This window comes from Homo sapiens, chromosome 5 (assembly GCF_000001405.40).
Source record: "Homo sapiens chromosome 5, GRCh38.p14 Primary Assembly".
NCBI classification, from domain to species: domain Eukaryota; kingdom Metazoa; phylum Chordata; class Mammalia; order Primates; family Hominidae; genus Homo; species Homo sapiens.
This window is the reverse complement of record NC_000005.10, coordinates 86,640,241-86,650,565: the sequence shown is the minus strand read 5'-3', so window position 1 is coordinate 86,650,565 and position 10,325 is coordinate 86,640,241. Positions and strand designations below refer to the sequence as shown.

The 10,325-nt window shown below is 36.3% G+C and overlaps 1 annotated feature.

Annotated features, from left to right (window-relative positions):
* Window positions 5,303–5,949: an enhancer, noted in NCBI's record as "OCT4-NANOG-H3K27ac-H3K4me1 hESC enhancer chr5:85940434-85941080 (GRCh37/hg19 assembly coordinates)". NCBI's record gives its function as "activates a minimal SCP1, AML or CMV promoter by ChIP-STARR-seq in naive H9 embryonic stem cells {active_cell/tissue: H9 hESC(naive)}" and the evidence as "EXISTENCE:reporter gene assay evidence [ECO:0000049][PMID:30033119]".

Here is a 10,325-nt window from a genome sequence, read left to right as displayed (position 1 = left end):
GCTATGGAATATTTTCAAGTGAAAGTGAACCCATTCTGTAAATAGAGATACATAACATAACAATGTTAGATGGGTAACGGTTCTTGATTTATGTTTGTATGTATGGGTTATTAATAGTAGTGGTAAGCATTTGGGGCATTTAGTTTTCATATTCTGAAACTGTTTAGAAGATAAGACAAGTGCTGCCTTTGCTGTCAGTGTCATCTGAACAGCGAGCCTTAATTTCTAGTACAGCATTGTCATCTGCTCAAAGCTAGTTTAATCACACATAGCAGGTTAAAGAGCAAGTGACCTTTTCAGGAATGAGGGGAGACTATATCAAATAAATTCTGTATTTTTTGTCTGCTGGGACAGATGTTAGATTGTGCTGGCATCTGTACAAATTCACAAATAGTTCCAGCTATGATTGTTAATTTACAGAAGAATTTCTATTACCCAGTGCCTCAATATGATAAATCTTATTATCACTCTTGTTCTCATATACCTTTGTCAACATTTGCTGAGACATATGCAGGAAGATTGTATTCTGGGAAAAGGTCACCTCATGCTGATGAATAGTGTACTGACATTGTAAAGATGATTTAGAGCGTCCAGACATCACCAAACCAACTGTCAGTTTCAGGCAAGGAATTTAAGCAAGTTTAAAATGGATGATAATCAAGGAGTAAAAAGGAGAGGGTAGTTTATCAGAAATCTTTGGATATGATGTAATATGGACATGGCTTAGAATATTTCATCCCTCCAATTTCTTTCAACTCCAGTTTATTATATCCTTTGTCATTTTGAAGTATTTTTGTCACCTTTCTCTTTAGCTGCCATTCATGAGAATGGAAAGCATTAGCTTTCTAATCCCTGTTTGACACTATACTCCTATTCTTAAGAATAATACCAAAAGGAGCTTCATAGATTAACATGACAAAACAATTGCAAAGATTAAAATAGCACTTTTATTGTAAAATATATGTGAAACTATTTTTAAAATCTTTTTTATAGTGAAAAGGTTTAAAAAGAAAGTACAAGAAAGAAGTTCCATGCTTCACAATTACACAACTTTTGAAGATCTTTCATCTATTTCTTATTTTTCATTTCTTTTGCTGCTAGAGTATTTTAAATAAAAATTCACACAGCATATCGTTTTATCCACACGTGCTTTAGTCTTTCTAATGAGAAAATTTTAAAAAACGTAATCACAGTAACATTAATCACACCTAACAAACTCAGCAATTATTATTTTATATCAGCTAATATCTAGTCCATGTTTAAACCTTCCCAGTTCTCTCAAAAATATCCTTTTTATTGTTGGTGTATTTGAGTCTGAATTCAAACAAATTTTAAACATTGCATTTGATCGATACCTGTCTTAAATTTCTTCTAATCCGTAACACGTTTCCTTTTCCTACTCTTTCTAAATATCCCCCTCCACTCCACTCTAGGTTATTTGTCTCATAGAATTTCTCAGGTTCTATTATAGATTTTTATTTTGGGATGCTCATTTAGCATATTTTTCTGGATTTATTTTCTATATAAGTGATCGAATCTACATGCTTAATTAAATTCAAGGAGTCAGGTTTCATTTTATTGTATTTTATTTGGGGAAATATTTTATTTGGGGAAAAAACATAAGTGGCTCTATGTATCCCTTATTACATCACATTAAGAGACACATAATGTCTGATTTTCCTACTTTTAATGATATTAAAATTGATCGAGAGGTTAATCCATCTATTGTAAAGTTGCCATCAACCTTTTACCTAATGGTTTTAGAAGGCATTGATGATTACTATCTAGATTAGTTACTATATTACATTTTGCAAAATGGACATTTTCTAATTGTATTATTCCTTTTCATTTTTTTAGTTTTACTTCTTTTTTCTATATTATTAATATATAACACTTATTTTTCCCAAACACTTTCAAAAACTTTTAATTTAATTTAATTTTCTTTTTTGAGACAGGGTCTTGCTATGTTGCCCAGACTGGTGAGCTCCTGGGCTCAAGTGATCCTCCTGCCTCAGCCTCACAGCTCAGCCTTCCAAGTAGCTGGAATTAGAGGTACATGCCATCTCACCTGGCTCATTATGATGTTTTTACCTTGTCAGAAAACAAGACTGTTACTCAAAACAGTGGCAATAATTTTATAGAAGGAAATAAGAAAGAGACAAGGAGACTTTCAGTTGTTCTTTACTACAAAACAGCAACAACAACCACTTGATTCAGTTCCCTGGAGCACATGACTAGACTGTTAAAAAGAACAACCACTATCTAGGACACAAATATATAAATGTGAAACATTAGCAAATTGTACGGGAAAACAAGTATGTGATGTAATATTAGACATAGATAAAAATTTGTCTGTTACCTTTTTTATTAACATTCATTGGTGTAAACTTCCACTAGAATAAAAATTACATGAATGCAGGAATTTTTGTCTACTTTGTTCACTGCTAAATTCACAAGACTTGAAAAGATGCTTGGCACATCATAAACTCTAGGCAAATATTTACTGAATCAATACTAAATTAACGAGTTAGATAATTTCAAGAAGTGATTAGTTAACAGTGATTACATCAAGAAAGAAGGAGATGAAGAGGAAAATACACTCTGGTCACTTGTGGTAATAGTTTACCACTGTGAGTTAAGAACTTACATTAGGAATGTATGTGTGCCACTATATGTAGTCTAAAGTCTTTGAATTATTTACTTACATCCCTTGCCAGTTAAACAGACACCTCTGGATCAAAGAATTGGTGGCATAGTTTTTATTTCCCCCACTGATAGCCTCCACTCCTATTTCTCCAGTCAGGAAAAATTTCATATTAAGTGTCTTCCATGTTTGCAAATACCTGTTGAATAATGAATGCAAAATTCACTGGTATACTGAAGTTGCTGGTAAAATATGTAACCAAGTTTTCTCCATAGAAAAAGAATATTTACCTCTGATGTTTTAAGATTTCTTATCATTTCACTTAATTATGCTGTTATTAGGATAAGGATAATAAGTATATTCAAAAGTCCCTTTTGAAATTAAAGAAAGTCTAAGGCACAATCTCAAAAAAAATCTTGTGCTGTCAGTGCCTCTTTTCATTAAAAAAAAAGAAGAATGTGCTTAATTTAGAGATGCTAGTCTACTGATGATCCTCCAACTTCTCTGACAACTCCCTCCTTTCTTTGTATCATCTCCTGTGGATAAGGGATGTTCATTGTTTCTCCTTTAGAGAGTTAACTGACTCTTACAATGGCAACAAAGATTTACTTAAATTTATATCACACACACTCATGCATGCACACACGTGCACAAGCCTACAAACTTTATCACCAGTTCTGACCATTTTCCTGTGCTCTGGGTCTGCATTTCCAGATGCACAATATCTCAAGCATGACTGAAGTCAAGTTTCAAATAGAATTCCAAAAGAGTTCCACTAGATCCCATGGAATTTATTATTTCTGCCAGTATCAATTTCTCAGTCTCTCAAGGTTAAAACCTTCTTATCACCCTTATCTTCTCTCCATTTTGCCATTCCACCTACAATTAATCACTAAATCCCACTGGTTTGACTTCCCTTATCTCTTGAATTGGTCTTTTCTGTTCCATTCCCATGGTCCCTTCTCTCATTACCTCTCAGCTTAACTATCAAAATAGCCTCTTAATTGGTCTTTAGTCTTTCTCTACTCCAGTCAATTTTGTCTACTGCTGCCAGATTAATTTTCACAATGCACAACTCAAAGTATATAACCTTCCGGCTCAAAAAGTCCAGTAGTCCCCTATTACTTAGAGGATTAAGTCCAAACTATTTTGCTTGGCTCTATGACCTTTGTCTGAATCACCCATAGTATATGCCCTAATTGCCAGCCAAAGTGAGTTATTTCCCACTTCCCAAATAAACTCTAGGATTTTCTGCCTATATTTCTTTAATTATGCTTCTCTCCATCTGGAATGTTCCCTTCCCACAGCCCTTTTCACTTCCATGTCCATACAAATACCCTCATCCCTCAAGACATTGCACAAATGCCATACACTTTCAAGGAGACCTTTCTACTTATCCTTTCCTCATGTTGTGGTCTCCTTTCTAAATTCCCTCTTCATTTTGTTGATACTTCTCATAGAAAAATTATCACATGTGAACTTAAATTGTGACTAATTGTATATTATTATATTTCCCTTTAGGGAATTTTTCTATCTTTAGAAAGAAGCCAGGTTTTAAAAATCTGTTACTATTCTTTTATCTTTCTGTATTAGGCTGTTCTCGCATTGCTGTAAAGAAATACCTGAAACTGGCTAATTTATAATGGAAGAATTGTAACTGGCTCATGGTTCTGTAGGTTGTACAGGAAACATAGTGCTGGCAATCTGCTTCTGGAGAGGCCTCAGGAAGCTTTTACTCCTGGCAGAAGGTGTTGTGAGATCAAGCACTTCATGTGGCAAAAGCAGCAGCAACAGTGGGGAGGGAGGTGCCATACACTTTTAAATGAACAGATCTTAGAAGAACTCATTATAATGAAAACAGAATGAAGCCAAGAGGGATCTGCCCCTGTGATTCAAACAGCTCCCATGAGGCCCCACCTCCAGCACTGGGGATTAAAATTCAACATGAGATTTGGGTAAAGACAAATATCTAAACTGTGTTATTTTACCCCTGGCCACTCCCAAGTCTCTGTCCTTCTCACATTGCAAAATACAATCAGGCCTTCCCAACTGTCCCCCAAAATCTTAACTCATTCCAGCAGTTACTCAAAAGTCCCGAATCCAAGTCTAAAGTCTCATCTGGGACTCATCTCTTCCCACCTATAAGCCTGTAAAATCAAAACAAGTTATTTACTTCCAAGATGTAATAGTGGGTATAGGCATTGGGTAAACATTGCCATTCAGAAAGAGAGAAATCAGCCAAAAGAAAAGGACTACAGGTCCCACACATATCCCAAACCTAGCAGGGCACTCATTGAATTTTAAAGCTTTAAAATAATCTCCTTTAACTCCATGTCCCACATCCAGGGCATACTGGCACAAGGGGTGGGCTCTGAAGGCCTTGGGCAGCTCCACCCCTGTGGTTTTGCAGTGTACATATCCCAAGTCTGCTCTTGCAGACTGTTGTTGAGCGCCTATGGTTTTTCCAGGCTCAGGGTGCAAGCTGCCGGTGGATCTACCTTTATGGGGTCTAGAGGACAGTGGTCCCCTTCCCACAGATCCAGCAGGCAGTGTCCCAGTGGGGACTTTGTATGGAGGCCCCAACCCTACATTACCCCTCTGCACTGCCTAAGTAGAGGTTCTCTATGGGGTTCCACCCCGTAGCAGGCTTTTGCCTAGGCATCCAGGCTTTTCCATACATCCTCTGAAATCTAGGCAAAGGCTACCAGGAATCCACCACTCTCATACTCTCTGTGTCTGCAGGCTTAACACCACAGGGGAGACACTAAGGCCTACAGCTTGCATTCTCCAAAGTGGCAGCTTGAGGTGTACCTGGGACCATTTGAGCCCGGCTGGAGCTGGAACTAGAGTCGCCCGCCAGTGTGCAGAAAGCAGTGTCCTGAGGCTGCACAAGTCAGTATGCCTGGCCCATGAAACCAGTCAGACCTCCTAGGCTTCTGGGCCTGTGATGTGAGGGGCTGCCATGAAGGTCTCTGAAATGCCTTTGAGGCCTTTTTCCCATTGTCTTGGCTAGTAGCACCTGGCTCCTTTTTAGTTATGCAAATATCTCTAGCAAGTGGTTGCTCCAGAGCCTGCTTGAATTTCTCTCCCCACAAAAAAAGATTTTTCTTCTCTGCTATATGGCCAGGCTGCAAATTTTCCAAACTTTTTTGTTCTGTTTCCCTTTTAAATATAAGTTCCAATTTTAAATCATTCATTTGCTCCCTCATTTAAGTATAGGTTGTTAGAAGCAGCCAGACCACATTTTGAACATTCTGCTGCTTAGAAGTTTCTTCCACCAGACACCCTAAATCATCACTCTTTAGTTCAAACTTCCACAGATTCCTAGGGCATGAACAGAATGCAGAAAAGCTCTTTGTTAGGGCGTAACACACGTGGCCTTTGCTCCAGTTCCCAATAAGTTCCTCATTTCCATCTGAAACCTCGGCTGTCTGGACTTCATTGTCCATGTAACTATCAGCTTTTTGGTCACAACAATTTAACCATTCTCTAAGAAGTTCCAAACATTCCCTCATCTTCCTATCTTCTTCTGAGCCCTCCAAACTCTTCCAACCTCTGCCTATTATCCAGTTCCAAAGGCACTTCCACATTTTCAAGTATCTTTATAGCAATACACCTTTCCTGGTACCAATTTTCTATATTTGGCCCTTCTTGCATTGCTATAAAGAAATACCTGAAACTGGCTAATTTATAACAAAAGTGGTTTAACTGACTCATGGTTCCATAGGCTATACAGGAAACATAGAGCTGGCATCTGCTTCTGGGGAGGCCTCAGGAAGCTTTTACTCATGGCAGATGGTAAAGTGGGGGCAAGGGATGGGGGAAGGTGCCACACATTTTTAATGATGAGTTCTCATGAGTACTTATTATCACAAAGACAGCACCAAGCCATGAAGAATCTGGCACCGTGATCCAAATACTTCCCATTAGGCCCCACTTTCAGCACTGGGGATTAAAATTCAACATGAGATTTGGGTGGGGATAAATACCTAAACTATATCACCCTCCCTCACAATATATGACACAGTCCTTTGCATACTATAAAGCCACATAAATATATGTTGAATTAGCATTAACTAGCTTTGTGGTAATTCTGAAAAACCAGCTACATTACTTGTGTATTAACAGAAATAACCATCTAAGTGTGGCTACTGTGCTGCCATTATCTGGGTGTTAGTAGGCACTATGTGTGCATGGCAATGTTGATAATGAAAATATCAAGGATGGAAACTAAGCTTTCTGGTCCTTTATGCACATCACATGGAAACTAATACAATGTGGATCATGCTTGCATTGATGCATCCTTGCTAAATGATTTGTATAAACTACAATAATTGTTTCCAACATTTCTCAAAGAATAAAGGGTTCATTATTTTGAATCAGCTGATCACAACCCTCAAATATACACATTCATTTTTCAACACCCCAAGGAGAAGCACCAAAGTCACAACAAAAGAAGATGATTTCAGATGGTAGTTTCCTGTAAATAATTTCCTGGTAGTAAGCATTTACAAGAACTAGTGGGTAACACTTCTCTGTCTACTGCGTCTTTGCCTTCTCTTGCCCTATTGCAAATTAGTACTCTTGTTCATAATGACAGTCCTAGGTCACTGCCAGATCCTTCTTCAGCAAAGAAAGATGTATATTCTGCTCTATTTCCTATGGCACATAAGCACTTTAGACATTTAAAATTCTCAAAAGTAAAATTTCACACTACTTAAATATAGAATTAAGGAGGTGCCAAATCACCACAATCTATGTGATTTTAAATTAAAATGATATACTATGTAATGAAAGCAATAGAAAGCTTTAACTCAGAGCTTCCCACCATTCCCTATTCCATGGAAAAAAAGGACAGTGGCAAGCTCTGAAAAATTTTAAAACGTCTCTACAATTGTACCACCAATTGAACAAAAGTTATTGGATAAATCATCTTAGTTATTTTTCATGGCTTTAGGAATAGTTATATAAATACAATCCACTTAGTATTTATATAACTTAAGGCTTAAAAATGACATACTTCTGTTATAGAACTGTGATAGATGAAACTTCATGTCTGTGGGGAGAGAGTTGAGCTCTCTCTCTCACCCACTGAATATCTTGAGAAAGGAAGAATAATTGAATTAAACAAAAATTGATAAAGTTTAATATAGGGAAATGGAGCAGGAAGAATTCTGTTCTATTATTGTTTAAAGAGTATTTATTTTCCTTTCTGGTTTCTCCCCTAAATAGTTGTGGATGTATGTTGGCAAAGCACTTAGCTTCTGAGGGCCTCAGTTTCTTACATAATACAAGAAAGTTGAACTACATGATCATTATGGGCCCTTCCTGCTTTCTTTTTCTTATGGGAAAATAGTTAATAAACATGTAAATTAGAAATATAACCTCAGCTAATGATAAGTGCTATGTAAAAATTTGGGTGGGACAAAAGAGTCACTAGAAGTAAGGAGGTGGCATTTAAGGTGAAACTTAAGTGATAAGAAGATAGTCATATGAAAATGTTGGGGCGCAGTGTGCTAGGCAGAGAGAACAGGAAATTCAAAAGCCCCAAGGCAGGAAAAAGACCACTGTGAAGGCTGGCACAGTGATAGGGTATGACATTGGGGAGGTGAGTCTATGGTAAAGAGTTTAGGTTTGACTTCATGACTAATCATAAAGGGAAAAGACTGACGGGGTTGATGCTGAAGAGTGATATGATCTGATTTAAGTTTTAAGACAACTATATGAGGTGCTGTGTAAGCAACAGACTGTAAGGAAGCAAGAGTATTAGCAGACAAGGCAGAAGGCTAAGGATGGTGGTAGAGACTAGGCCTTCAGCAGTGGGACAATGGTGAGAAACAATTGGACATGAAAGTATGTTTAGGAGAGAGCAAAAACAGGACTTGCTAATGGATTGGAGGAGAAGGGTGGGGAAAAGAGAGGACTAAGGATGTCTAGTTATTGATCTGACAAATACATGATTTTGTCTATAATGATAGTTTAATCTAAGGGCTCAGCTGTTGGTTATTTGCAACCGTTCAGCTGTATATGTGTCTGGATCATAGTGGAGATGTGAAGATTGAAAATGAAGATTTGAGAGACCTCAGCTTATACATGGTATTTAAAACCATGAGACTGGATAAAATCTTGAATGCTCTCATATTCACCTTTTTATTATCCAGCGGAAAAATTGGATCAGGTACATTGAGTCATTCTTATTAAATTACTTGCCATAGTATTTTAAAGTTCTCTGTGCTGATTTAATGATGTGATGCAGATGGGGAGAGAAGCTATGAAGTGTGGCTCTGAAAATACATGCTTTTAGTTGTAGCTTAATTTGAGGTTTTACTGTTAGTTTTTTATAACTGTGCAGTATTTTCCAGGCATATCTTCACCTAATGTTGTTCTTTATCAGACTGAAAGGGAAGACACAAGTTTTATCATCTAAATTTACTTTGATTGTGTCCCATTACCATTTGGTTTCTCATATATCCAAAGCCAATTGATTTCCAATTAAGAACAAAGTCTTCTTTAATTTTAAATCCACTTAATTAATTGTTTTAATTTCAAACATAACAGCATTGCAGGGAAATCTTCGTTTAAAGTTTATTATTAACTGAAGTAAACAGAAGATAATGGAAACTGGAAGCATAGGAATCTTCTGTTAACAATAAGTTCTTTATCTTTATAATAGAAGCTAGTGTTTCACCTTTATTTTCCCCATTTCTTTCTAAGATAAGCACTTAAGTCTCCTTTACATAAATAGTACGAAAGACAAAGGGCTTATTTCCTTAAAAGACAAAAAGCCATTATAAATCAGTAAGTGAATAATGATGCACATTCCAACCAAAAACTGAAAGCAAAACAAAACAAAAAGCAAGGCAAAGAATATAATCAGGCAATTCACATCATATAATAGATGCTTAACCTCAGTTTATACACATTGTACTCTGATTTTTTTCCCAAATTTTTTTATTTTATAGTAATAAACTGTAATTTTGTGATATCTGGTATATAATTCTGTGTGCCACTGGTCCTTTTTTTTTTTACTTTTCTTAGCGTCTTAAACTATTTCTCTGTGTCTCCTTTATTCTCCTAACTTATCTCTGATTTTAATCCTGATCTGCAGAATAACTAGATCTAAGCAGAAGGAAACTGAGGAAATGGAAGCAGGAAGTATTATTGGTACTAATTATTGGCCATCAAATCTGAGTTTCCTTCCCCTCTTGACTTTTTCTGATATATTTTCAAAATTCTCTTTTTGATAAATCTTGTTTTCCCAGTTTCTAATTAATCTACTTTTTGAAAATTTTTTTCTGTATTTACTCTTACAGATCCTTCCGTATTTCTCTACATAACAAAATATCTAAGATTTTCTTGACATTTTCTAAAGGAAAATTAAATTCAGATTACCTCTGAACATTAAATAATATGGAAACATTTCTTTGAAAGGTAGAATAGAAAAGTTCTGAGAATTCACATCAACAAAAAAGGACTCTTAGAAATGGGAACTAGGAGTTGCAGCTAATAAGGATGTTGGTTCTAGCAGGTAACATACAAATTGCTCTTAGAATGAAAATATACCTTTGAAGGATCTATTACATTTATCTTAAATATCCAGAAACTAGGCTTTGGAAGCTCAGAAACTAAGAATTAAATTTTTTTTTCCTCAAAATGGAATAAAAAGATTAGAGTGGTCCTA